General features: G+C 49.4%; 1 long non-coding RNA gene across 1 annotated transcript in view, besides 2 other annotated features; it reads left to right on the top strand.

Moving 5' to 3' along the window:
• The window catches only part of LINC01841 (long intergenic non-protein coding RNA 1841), a 58,533-nt gene extending 56,392 nt beyond the window's left edge, over positions 1-2,141 (top strand). The window contains exon 4 of the long non-coding RNA NR_134908.1: positions 1,924-2,141. This is a non-coding gene — a long non-coding RNA (long intergenic non-protein coding RNA 1841). The remainder of the gene's footprint in view (positions 1-1,923) is intronic.
• Positions 9,027-9,526: an enhancer, noted in NCBI's record as "H3K4me1 hESC enhancer chr19:14408885-14409384 (GRCh37/hg19 assembly coordinates)". NCBI's record gives its function as "activates a minimal SCP1, AML or CMV promoter by ChIP-STARR-seq in primed H9 embryonic stem cells {active_cell/tissue: H9 hESC(primed)}" and the evidence as "EXISTENCE:reporter gene assay evidence [ECO:0000049][PMID:30033119]".
• Positions 12,432-12,511: a silencer, noted in NCBI's record as "silent region_10242". NCBI's record gives its function as "represses an Ori minimal core promoter by ATAC-STARR-seq in GM12878 lymphoblastoid cells {active_cell/tissue: GM12878}" and the evidence as "EXISTENCE:reporter gene assay evidence [ECO:0000049][PMID:35858748]".

Below are 13,031 nucleotides of genomic sequence, written 5' to 3'. Positions count from 1 at the left end.
GTACACAAGCAAGGAAGTGAGCCCTCACCAAGAACTGAATTGGCTGACACCGTGATCTTGGACTTCCCAGTTTCCAGAACTGCATGAAATTTAGTGTTGTTTTGTGATATTTTGTTAGCCCTACCAGACTAAGACTGAGTGATTCCAGGAATCACTGATAGGGGAGAAGAAAAATGAGACAGGAACATGAGAACAGCCCATGCAAGGTATAAATAAGTAGTTACTGCTGAGAGCCGCTGGGTCCCAATCCCACTGGGGCTTGCTGTGAAAACTGTGTGACACATGCACCTTGGAGACATCCCACCCAAGTGGAGAGGGAGCTGGGGTTTTGTTTTGTTTTGTTTTGTTTTGTTTTGTTTGAGACGGAGTCTCACTCTGTTGCCCAGGCTGGAGTGCAGTGGTGTGATGTCAGCTCACTGCAACCTCTGCCTCCCGGGTTCAAGCCATTCTCCTGCCTCAGGCTCCCGAGTAGCTGGGATTACGGGTGCCCACCACCACGCCCTGCTAATTTTTGTATTTTTAGTAGAGACAGGGTTTCGCCATGTTGGCCAGGCTGGTCTTGAACTCCTGACCTCAAGTAATCCACCCACCTCGGCCTCCCAAAGTGGGGGGTTTACAGGCGTAAGCCACCGCACCACCCGGACAAAGCTGAGGTATTTGACAGTTACCACCCATCCTACACTGAGGGCTGTGCCCTGGGCACTTCTGACCTGTCCCACATGTGGGCCAGGAGAAAGCCCCCAGGCAGAGAGGTGTAGGTAGCACATGCTGTTAGTATACACTAGCCCAGGGCTCAGCAACATCTTTCTGTAAAGGACCAGATAGTAAGTACTTTCAGCTTTGCAAGCCAGACATTCTCTGTTGCAACTACCGATTTTCCTTGACTTACAATGGAACTATGTTCCAATAAACCCACTGTAAACTGAAAACATCGCTGAAGTGGGAGGATCACTTGTGCCCTGGAGTTTATCAGCCTGGGCAACATAGTGAGACCCCATCTCTACCAAAAAAATTAAAAATTAGCCAGGTATGGTGACACATGCCTGTAGACCCAGCTACTTGGGAGGCTGAGGTAGAAGGATCGCTTTAGCTGGGAGTTCAAGTCTGCAGTGAGCTGTGATGGAACTACTGCACTCTAGCCTTGGGTGACGGAGCAAAATTCTGTTTCAAAAGGAAGAAAAGAGAAGGGGAGGGAAGGGGAGGAGAGAGGAAGGAAGGGAAAAGGTAAAGGAAAGGAAAAAGGAGAAAGGAAAGAGTCACAAGTTGAAAATACATGGAATACACCTAACCTAGTGAACATCACAGCTTAGCCTAACTTACCTTAAACATGCTCAGAACACTTAACATTAGCCCACGGTTGGGCAAAATCATCAAACACAAAGCCTATTTTAAAATAAAGTGTTGAATATCTCACATAATTCTTTGAATACTATACTGAACGTGAAAAACACAATGTATGGGTCCCCGAAGTAGGGTTTCTACCAAATGTGTATCACTTTCACACCATTGTAAAGTTGAAACATTGTCAGTTAAACCATCGTTAAGTTGGGACCATCTGTATTTGGTTCTGTCCTTGAGTGAAAGCTGCCCCAAACGACATGCAAACAGATGAGCACAATTGTGTGCCAATAAAACTTTATTTACAAAAACAGGTGGTGGGCCATCCCTAAGTCAATTACGAGGGAGGGAATGGAGCATTAGATGGATTTGGACCAACCAGGGCTGACCCGCTGAAGCACGTGACCACTCAGGATGGAAATAGATTTGCCCTGCTGCATCTTCCTAGCCTGTTCTCTCAGGGCAGCTGCCCTCGACAATGAGGTCTGCACAGCCTCACAGCAGGTCCCAGTCCCAATAAACTATGTCCCAAGAAATGCACTTGGCTCTGGGGTTCAGTTTGGCTTTTTTTTTTTTTCTCCACAGACTGCTGATGGCTGGAACAGGAGCTTGGCACCTCCACCCTGACCCAGACACAAGCCTGTCTGTCCCACTCAAATCGAGCTGGCCAGAGACTACAACTGTGTTGGTTCCCAAGACATAGAAAAGCCAGAAGAGGTCGGGCGCAGTGGCTCACGCCTGTCAGCACTTTGGGAAGCCGAGGCAGGCAGATTACCTAAGGTCAAGAGTTCAAGACCAATCTGGCCAATGTGGTGAAACCCCATCTCTACTAAAAATACAAAAATTAGCTGGGTGTGGTGGTGCACCTACAGGCCCAGCTACTCGGGCGGCTGAGGCAGGAGAATCGCTGGAATCCAGGAGGCAGAGGTTGCAGTGAGCCGGTATCACGCCACTGCACTCCAGCCTGGGCGACAAGAGCTAAACTCCACCTCAAAAAACAACAACAACAACAAAACAAACAAACAGAAAACAAGCCAGAAGAGATGGGGAGGAACTGGAGTGTGATCTCCCATTCCATTAACCCAGATCTGGGACTACCAGGTGGAACATTCCAAACATATCATTTTTTATTTTCTCTCTCCCTCTCTCTTAAGGCACATCTTCCAATACTCTGCAGTCATTAAGCAGAATGAGGCAGGTCTGGATGTGCTGATTTGGGGAAGGTGTCCACAGTATATAATTAACTGGAAAAAGCTATCATGGAACTGTGTGCCTGCAACGATCCCTATTTGTGAAAGTAAAAGGAGGATATTCGTATCGACTCTGGTGTGCAAATAGAAAATGCCAGGGCGGATACACCGGGCAGCTCTTAGCAGAGCTATATTAGGGGGAAGGGAGGAGCTGAGAGAGAGACTCCATTCAATATGCTCCCCCTCCGATAGGGTTTGAATTCCTTGCGTTTTATCATGAGCATGTATTGCTTTTCTAAGAAAAGAAATCCACCAGGTGCGGTGGCTCATGTCTGTAATCCCAACACTTTGGGAGGATGAGGTGGGAGGATTGATTGCTTGAGGCCAGGAGGTGGAGGTTGCAGTGCGCTGTGATTGCACCACTGCACTCCAGCATGGGTGACAGAGGGAGATCCTGTCTAATTAAAATTTAAAAAAAAAATTAGAAAGAAAATGAAGGCCAGGCATGAGCCACCACTTTAGGAGGCCGAGGCAGGCAGATCACCTGAGATCAGGAGTTCGAGACCAGCCTGGCCAACATGGTGAAACCCTGTCTCTACTAAAAATACAAAAATTAGTTGGGCATGGTAGCGTGTGCCTTTAATCCCAGCTACTTGGGAGGCTGAAGCAGGAGAATTGCTTGAACCCACGAGGCAGAGGTTGCAGTGAGCCCAGATCGCGCCATTGCGCTCCAGCCTGGGTGACACAGCGAAATTCCGTCTCAAAAAAAAAAAAAAAGGAAAAAAAGAAAAAGAGACACTGCCTCTAAAAAACAAATAAGTCTCTCTCTGTCTCTCTCTTTGTGTGTTTCTCTCACGCCTGTGGATTCTGTTTCTCTGGAGAACCCTGACTAACACAGCAGAACTTTACAAATTGTCTCTCTAGTCTGCAGCTACCCATTTTATAGATGAGAAAACTGAGGCCCAGGGAGGGGAATGGCTGCTCAGGGCCTCTGGAGTCCAGGACGCTTTCTGTTCCAATCCCACAGCCTCCCCCTTCCCTGTTTCCCATTGGAAGGAGCAAAAAGGGTTTAAACAGCAGAGAGATAAGGGAAGATCTAGAATCAGCTCCTCCCCTGGCTGGCTGGGTGACCCGGAACATCCACTCGCCCACTTGCCCCCTGGGTACCAGGCCCTGGGTTCAGTACCACAGAATCACTAGTGAGAAAGTGACTTCCTTTACTGAACTATCAATCCCTCTAATCCCTCAAAAAAAGCAAGTCTCAGGCTGGGCCTGGTGGCTCACACCTGTAATCCCAGCACTTTGAGACGCCGAGGCAGGGGGATCACCTGAGGTCAGGGGTTTAAGACCAGTTTCGCCAACATGGTGAAACCCCCTCTACTAAAAATACAAGAATTAGTGAGGCGTGGTGGCACATGCCTGTAATCTCAGCTACTTACGAGGCTGAGGCAGGAGAATTGCTTGAATCTAGAAAGTGAAGGTTGCAAGGAGATTGCACTATTTCACTCCAGCCTGGGTGACAGAGTGAGACTCTGTCTCAAAAAAAAAAAAAAAAAAAGCAATTCTTAGAGAGGTGCTAGCTAGCATGATTTTCACGCCCCTCCGATGCTTCCCAATCCAATTTTTTTTTTTTTTTTTTTTTTTTTTAGCCAAAAGAGCTGGTCCCAGCCTTACAGTCTTGACAAAGTATAGGGAGAATGTCATGATACTCTTTGCACTTTCATTATTTTTATTTTTCATTTCTTTTTTTTTTGAGACAAAGTCTCGGCTCTGTCACCCAGGCTGGAGTGTGGTGGCACAATCTCAGCTCACTGCAACCTCTGTCTCTTAGGCTCAGGTGATCCTCCCACCTCAGCCTCTCAAGTAGCTGGGACTACAGGTACATGCCACCATGCCCGGCTAATTTTTGTAGAGATGGGGTTTTGCTATGTTGCCCTGGCTGGGCTTGAACTCCTGAGCTCAAGCGATCCTCCACCCTCAGCCTCCCCGAGTGCTGGGATTATAGGCATGGGCTACTGCACCAAGCCTCATTTTGTCTATTTTATACTTGTTTGTGGCCACTCGTGGTGGTTTTGCATTCATGGCCATGAGAGAACATTCCTTTTGTGAGTGAGTTGGGTTAAGTTTCAAACCGAGTTAGTCCATTTTAGAAATAAAGTAAAATCGCTTGTGTGTAGCCTGGGACCCTGAAGAGCTTGCACCCAGCCACACTGGCCACACTGGCAGACTTACACAGCTGCATTCTGGAAGCAGTTCTTCAGCAATGGGGCACCCTGCAACTCAGCCTTCAGACACCTGGTCCCTTTTATTACTATTCTTTCTCTTTCTTTTGCTTTCCTTCTGTCTCTCTCTTTTCTTCCTTCCCTTTCCTTTCTTTCTTTCTTTTCTTTCTCTCCCCCTCCCCTCCCCTCCCCTCCACTCCCATCCCCTCCTGTCCTCTCCCCTCCCCTTCCTTTCCCTTCCTTTCCTTTCCCTTTCTTTTTCTTGACAGAGTCTTGCTCTGTCGCCCAGGCTGGAGTGCAGTGGCTTGATCTCAGCTCACTGCAACCTCCACCTCCCGGGTTCATGCCATTCTCCTGCCTCAGCCTCCTGAGTAGCTGGGACTACAGGCATGTGCCACCACACCTGGCTACTTTTTTTTTGTATTTTTAGTAGAGACGGAGTTTCACCATGTAGCCAGGCTGGTCTCGAACTCCTGACCTCAGGTGATCCACCCAGCTCGGCCACCCAAAGTGCTGGGACTTCAGCTGTGAGCCACCGTGCCTGGCTCCTTTTTTCTTTTTTTAGAGATGAGATCTCTCTCTGTTGCCCAGGCAGGAGTGCACTGGTGTGATCACAGCTCACTGCAGCCTCAAACTCCTGGGTTCAAGTGATCCTCCCACCTCAGCCCCCTGAGTAGTTGGGACTACAGTTGCACGACACCACACACGACTAATTTTTAGAATTATTTTTTGTAGACATGGGGTCTCACTCTGTCGCCCAGGCTGGGAGTGCAGTGGTGCGATCTCGGCTCACTACAACCTCCGCCTCCTGGGTTCAACCAGTTCTCCTGTGTCAGCCTCCCGAGTAGCTGGGATTAGAGGCACACACCACCACGCCCAGCTAATTTTTGTGTTTTTGTATTTTTAGTAAAGATGGGGTTTCACCATGTTGGCCAGGCTAGTCTCGAACTCCTGACCTCATGATCCACCCACCTCAGCCTCCCAAAGTGCTGGGATTATAGGTGTGAGCCACCGTGCCCAGTTAGCTTCTTGTATTTTTACCGGGCGCATCTGTCTGGCCTGCCTGCTGTGTGCTTGCCAAGGTGATGCGTTTGGGAAGATGGACGGAAAGTGATGAAACCAGGGGACCCTTGGGCTGCCTCCAGCCCAGACCTATTTGCTCTATTTTTATTTTTAGAGGTGGGGGTCTCACTCTGTCACCCAAGCTGGAGTGCAGTGGCATGATCATGGCTCACTGCAGCTTTGACCTCCTGGGCTCAAGTGATCCTCCCACCTCAGCCTCCTGAGTAGCTGGGACACAGGTGTGTGCCACCACACCCAGCTAATTTTTTTCTTTTTCTTTTTTTGTAGAGATAAGGTCTCAATATGTTTCCCAGGTTGGGGTCTCAAACTCCTGGCCTCCAGTGCTCCTCCTGATGCAGGAATAAGCAGGCCCCCAAAATTGGGGCTTAGGCTGGGTGGGTGACTCATGCCTGTAGTCCCAGCACCTTGGGATGCGAGGCGGGTGGATCATTTGGACCCAGGAGTTCGATACCAGCCTGGGCAACATAGCAAGATCCCATCTCTACAAAAATTACAAAAATTAGGCGGGTGTAGTGGCACAGACCTGTACTCCTGGCTACTTGGGAGGTTGAAATGGGAGGATCATCTGACACCCAGAGGTCGAGGCTGCAGAGAGTCGAGACTGCACCTCTGCATTCCAGCCTGGGTGTCGAAGACCCCTTCTCAAAAAAAAAAAAAAAAAAAAGCCAGGTGCAGCGGCTAATGCCTGAAATCCCAGCACCTCAGGAGGCCATGGTGGGTGGATCACCTGAGGTCAGGAGTTCAAGACCAGCCTGGCCAACATGGCAATATCCCATCTCTACTAAAAATACAAAAATTATCTGGGCTTGATGGCATGTGCCTGTAATCCCAGCTACTCGGGGAGGCTGAGGCAGGAGAATTGCTTGAACCCAGGAGGCAGAGGTTGCAGTGAGCTGAGATCGAACCACTACACTCCAGCAGCCTGAGCTACAGAGCGAGATTCAGTCTGAAGAAAAAAAAAAAAATTAGGGCTTAGCCCTGGAGGGTTCTTAGATTCACCCAAAAAGGAATTCAAGGGAGAGCTGGTGGTGTTAAACAGAAAATTTAGTGAAGAATCAGGGCTACCCAAAAGGCAGTGTGCCCAGAGTAGCAGCTCAGAGGTGCTGCTGTATTCACTCATATTTATATCCATTTTTAATTATATGCAAATTAAGGGGCAGTTTATGTAGAAATTTCTAGGATGAGAGTGGTAACTTCCAGGTGGTTGGGTAGTTGCCATGGAAAGGGGCGGGGAATTCCAGGTGTTGCCATGGTAATCGTAAACCGACATGGCACACTGGTGGGCGTGTCTTATGGGGAGGTGCTACACACACACACACACACACACACACACACACCTACACACACCTGCTTTAGCTAGTTCTTTGTTTGTTTTTGGAGACGGAGTTTTACTCTTGTCTCCCAGGCTGGAGTACAGTGGCATGATCTCGGCTCACTGCAACCTCTGCTTCCCAGGTTCAAGCGATTCTCCTGCCTCAGCCTCTCGAGTAGCTGGGATTAGAGGCGCCTGCCACCACACCCGGCTAATCTTTGTATTATTAGTAGAGACGGGGTTTCACCATGTTGGCCAGGCTGGTCTCGAACTCCTGACCTCAGGTGATCCACCCACCTTGGCCTCCCAAAGTGCTGGGATTACAAGTGTGAACCACCGCATCTGGCCATCAATTTGGTCCAGTGTCTGAACTTCACCTCCAGAGTCCCTTCCAGCCTCCTACCTCACTCCTACCTTGGCCTCCTGAGTAGCTGGGACAACAGGCTTGCGCCACCATTAACCATATAATTTTAAAAAAGTTTTCTTCTTTGTAAATATGGGGTCTCCCCATGTTTCCCAGACTCCAAACCTATTTCCTAACCTTTATCATTATCTGCTTCTGTGGGATGCGAATGGAAGTGAGGTGTGCTACATTCAGGCTTTTAACACCTCCCACCTGCACCTTCTAATTCTTCCTTTGCATCTGCTGGCTGGACAAAGAGGGTCTTGTGGGGCCTCTGAGTCACTGGAAGAAGGTGAAGCCACAATATAGCCGGCGTCTGGTTCCCAGGTGCGGCAGCGTGATGTGAGTGAGAAAGTAGCCTTTAGTGCATTAAGCCACTGGGATCTACAGGTTGCTCGTTACAGCAGCTGGCGTGTCCTTGTTCTAATACACAGTTTGTCTTTTATTTTGTTTTTGGATTTTTTAGGGACGGAGTCTTGCTCTGTCCCCCAGGCTGCAGTGCAGATCCTCTCGCCTTAGCCTCTGGAGTAGCTGGGACTACAGACATGGGGGCGCCACCATGCTCAGCTTGTTATACGTTTATGTAGAGATGGGGTCTTGCTATGTTGCCCAGGCTGGTCTCAAACTTCTGGACTTAGGCGATCCTCCCATCTCAGCCTCCCAAGTAGCTGGGACTGCAGGTGCATGCTACCATGCCCGGCTAATTTTTAATATTTTTTTCTGTAGAGATGGAGTCTTGCTATATTGCCCAGGCCAGTCTCAAACTCCTGGGCTCAAGCAATCCTCCCATCTCAGCCTCCCAAAGTGCTGGGATTATAGGTGCGAGCCACCACGCCCAACCAGTTGCTCAATTCTTATAACAGCCCTTGGAGGTAGGTTCCATTGTTAGCCCCAGTCTTATTTATTTATTTAGATGGAGTCTCACTCTGTTGCCCAGGCTGGAGTGCAGTGGCACGATCCCAGCTCACTGCAACCTTCGCCTCCTGGGTTCAAGTGATTCTCCTGCCTCTGCCTCCTGAGTAACTGGGATAACAGGCACAGGCCACCATGATTGGCTCATTTTCTTTTTTGTATTTTTAGTAGAGACAGGGTTTCACCACGTTGGCCAGGTTGATTTCGAATTCCTGACCTCAAATGATCTGCCCACCTCGGCCTCCCATAGCCCCAATCTTTAAATGAGGAAATTGAGGTGCAGAGAGGGTCGGCCACTCGCCAAATGGGAAAAGCTAGAATTCTAACCCAGACCATTTGCCTTCAAAACCTACCCTGACCACCACAGTAACCTGTGATAAGGTGCAACTCAGAGGGAATAACCTTCTCCTCTCTGGGCCCTGAAGTCTCTCTACCTACAATGGATTTCCTGTTCCTGTGTGGGGAGGGAGGTGCAACACCAGCCCCCGAGCTTTGAGCCTTGCCTCGTCCTCCCTGTATATTAAGGAGTGCTCAGATGTGGCTGTAGCTGCACCTCTTTCTCCAAGATGGAGCCCACCCAGAGATGCTGTGTGCAAAAGGCTTGACTCACAGCCGGTGCATAGTAAGCCCTCAATAAATGTTTGAAATTATTATCGATGGTTTCAGGGTGCTGGCTGAAAGGCAGCATAGCTCAGCAGTTAAGCCAGACGGGCTGGGTTCAAATCCCATCTCTATCATGTAATAGCTGTGTGACCTTGGGTAAATTACTCAACCTCTCTGTTCCCCCGTCTATAAAATGGGGGAAATGACACTATCTATTTTATAGAGCTATTGCAAGGATTAGCATAGAAAATGCCTCAACCGTGCCTGCCACTGATGTCAGGTTTTATTATTGCTGTAACACTTTCCCCTATTCAGTTTCATCTCCTAGATCCCCGGGCACGGCAACAGCTGGCTTTCAGATCAGGGCCTCCCTGGGAGGTTTTAGTCCCAGCACAAGTCCCCTGCCTTCCCCCTCTCTGGCTCCCAGCAGCCGCATCCTTCCCCCAGTCTTGGCCCGGGTTCCAGCACCGTCTCCTCCCCTCCCCTTTGCCCCTCAGCCCCGGGGTGACCAAAGCCTCTGCCTCGTGGGACGGCTTTCTGGCACTTTCCTCCTTTTAAGAGATTGACTGCAATTTCTATAATAACATCACATTAGCCAGAAATTAATGTCCTCATTAAGATAGCAATTAGGCACATTAGCGTGGCAATAAAAGAGAAGCTTATGAAATAATTGCTGGTTCCAAAATGCCTTTAATTTAGTATTTTATATTGTGCCATGTTATTAATTTTTTTCCCTCGGCAGAAGATAATAAGAGAAACATTTGAATTGTGGGGAGGTTTAAAATAAAAAAATTTTTGAGAAGGAAAGCAATGTTGATACCTGTAGACAGACGATCTGTCTTCTCCCCAAAACCCCATTGGTCCTGAGTCCATAGGGTGACTCCATGGGGTGTCACAAGAGGGAAAGCGTTGACGGGTAGGGGGCCAGGCCATGTCCTGGGACTTTTGGCCAGGCTTGGCATCCAGCGGAGATTGGAGTGGAACAGCCTTTGATCCTAGAAGCAGGAGAAATGGTGCCATGTTTCTTTGCCCTAAACAACAAATACCTGTTTGTTTGGGTTTTTTCCCCCAATAGGCTCCATCTCCTGAATTCAAATTCTTTCAGCAAATGTTTCCTTGGTACCCTGTGGCTCTGACTCTGCTGTTGAGGGCTTTCCAGATTGTTGGAGACGACAGATGTATAAATGGGAAAATGCCATGATAAACTGGGAATGCAGTATTTTGCAACTTGTAATGAAATCATGGCTCTAGGCCGGGCACCGTGGCTCACGCCTGTAATCCCAGAACTTTGGGAGGGCAAGGTGGGAGGATCGCTTCAGGCCAGCAGTTCGAGATCAGCCTGGGAAACATAATGAGACCCCCCCCAACCCCGTCTCTTAAAAAAAAAAAAAAAAAGGAAAGAAAGAAAGAAATCATGGATCTAGGACATGATTAGCCATGGATAGTAAAATCATTAGGGGAAAGGTGGATGAGGAATGGTTTTGTGTGGCCGGGCACAGTGGCTCACACCTGTAATTCCAGCACTTTGGGAGGCTCAGGCAGGCGGATCACCCGAGGTCAAGAGTTCGAGACTAGCCTGGCCAACATGGTGAAACCCCATCTCTACTAAAAATACAAAAATTAGCCTGCTGTGGTGGCAGGTGCCTGTAATTCCAACTACTCGAGAGGCCGAGGCAGGAGAATTGCTGGAACCTGGGAGGCAGGGGTTGCAGCGAGTCAAGATCGCGCCACTGCACTCCAGCCTGGGTGACAGAACAAGACTCTGTCTCAAAAAAAAAAAGAAAAAGAAAAAAGAAAAAAGAAAAAAAAAAAGGAATGTTTTAGGGGAGGGCTGTTCTGCTCCCATCTGAGCCCTGGGTCAACTTTAGCGTCCTAGGCTGGACATGATGTGGCTCCCATTGGGAGCAGTAGTAGATTGGTGAGGGCCTGGAAGGAGACGTGTATCTATCTAAGTTAAGGCGGGCACCTCAGAGGATCACGCACATGAACAGAGACCTGAAGGAGTAAAAGCGGAGGATACACATAGAGATCTGGGGGAAGAAGGTTCCAGACAGGAGGAACAGCGGGTGCCAAGACTCTGGGGTGGGAACTAGCATAGAGGAGATCAGCTAGGAGGCTGATGTGGCTGGACGGAAGTGAAAGAGAGAGGAGAGGAGGTGCAATCAGAGAGATACCAAGGAAAGAAAACATGGGGGGCTGGGCACGGTGGCTCACGCTTGTAATCCCAGCACTTTGGGAGGCCAAGGCGGGCAGATCACCTGAGGTCAGGAGTTAGAGACCAGCCTGGCCAACACGGTGGAACACCGTCTCTATTAAACATACAAAAATTAGTGGGGCATGGTGGTACATGTAATCCCAGCTATTCGGGAGGCTGAGGCAGGAGAAACGCTTGAGCCTGGGAGGCAGAGGCTGCAGTGAGCCGAGATCGCGCCACTGCAATCCAGCCTGGGCAACAAAGCGAGACTCCGTCCAAAAAAAAAAAAAAAAGAAAAGAAAGAAAAAGGAAAAATGGGGAATTTCACTGGAAGGCCATGCCAAAAAACAAACAAAAAAGAAACAAATAAAGGAAAAATGGGGAAGGATTCCTCAGGAAGTTAAAGAGTTGACAATCAATTTTGGGGACCTCGGGATTTGAGTCTAGCTCCTTCGTGGGCAAGGGGACGTGCTGACCAATGCACACCTGTGCCTGCCAGGCTCCTTGTCAGTTACCTGTTGCCAGTTAAGCTGTCTAACACAAGGCCAGGCACAGTGCCTCATGCCTGTAATCCCAGCACTTTGAGAGGCCAGGCAGCTGGATCACTTGAGGCCACGAGTTTGAGACCAACCTGGCCAACATGGCAAAACCTCATCTCTACTAAAAATACAAAAATTAGTCGTGGTGGCGGGTGTCTGTAATCCCAGCTACTCGGGAGGCCGAGGCAGGAGAATCGCTTGAATCCGGGAGGCAGAGGTTGCAGTGAGCCAAGATTGCACCACTACATTCCAGCCTGGGCCACAAAGTGAGACTGAGTCAAAAAAAAAAAAAAAAAGCTGCCTAACAACGCTCAAATCCAGCAGTTTAGGACAATCAGCATTAATTTTGGCTTCGCAGGCTACAGAGCAGTTTTTCCGCCCCTGGCTGGGCTCACCCACCAACGTCTATGGGTCCAAGAGGCACACTGTATTTATTCAGGCTGGGTCTTTTCGTATATTTGGGGCCCGGCTGGCTGTAGGCTGGTCTAGGACAACAGGATTCTTCCCTCATCCTCCAGCAGGCTAGCTAGGGCTTGGTCACCTGACAGGGGCAGGGTTTCCAGACATCGAGCAGAAACATGCACCACTTCTTCAGGCCTAGATTGGGAAGTGACTTCACTTCTGCTGCAATCCATTGATTGGCCAAAGGAGATCACGAGACCAACCCAGATTCAAGGGGTGTGGAAATAGGCTCCACCTCCCAGTGGGAGGAGCTACCTAGGCAAAGAGTATAGATGGTGGGCTGTAGAATTGGGTCCGTGAAGCAAACTTGACCAGCCCCATGATTTCTTTGGGGCTTTTGATAATCATTCCCTGCCCCTCCCTGGGTACCCCAGGGCATTCTATGGTCCTCGACCCTAGCTTTGGCCCCTGTAGAAGTTCTTTTTTTTTGAGATGGAGTCTCGCTCTGTCACCCAGGCTGGAGTGCAGTGGCGCGATCTCAGCTCACTGCAAGCTCCTCCTCCCGGGTTCACGCCATTCTCCTGCCTCCGTCTCCCGAACACCTGGAACTACAGGCGCCCACCACCACGCCCGGCTAAGTTTTTGTATTTTTAGTAGAGACGGGGTTTCACTGTGTTAGCCAGGATGGTCTCGATCTCCTGACCTCGTGATCCGCCCGTCTCTGCCTCCCAAAGTGCTGGATTACAGGCATGAGCCACCGCGCCCGGCCCTCTGTAGAAGTTCTTTCTGCCCAGGTTTGCTCTCTCTCTAAGCTCCCACAGGAGCTGTGGCTT

The sequence above is a fragment of the Homo sapiens genome, chromosome 19 (assembly GCF_000001405.40).
Source record: "Homo sapiens chromosome 19, GRCh38.p14 Primary Assembly".
NCBI lineage: Eukaryota > Metazoa > Chordata > Mammalia > Primates > Hominidae > Homo > Homo sapiens.
Note: the sequence above shows the minus strand (reverse complement) of the source record. Positions and strands in the feature narration are given on the sequence as shown.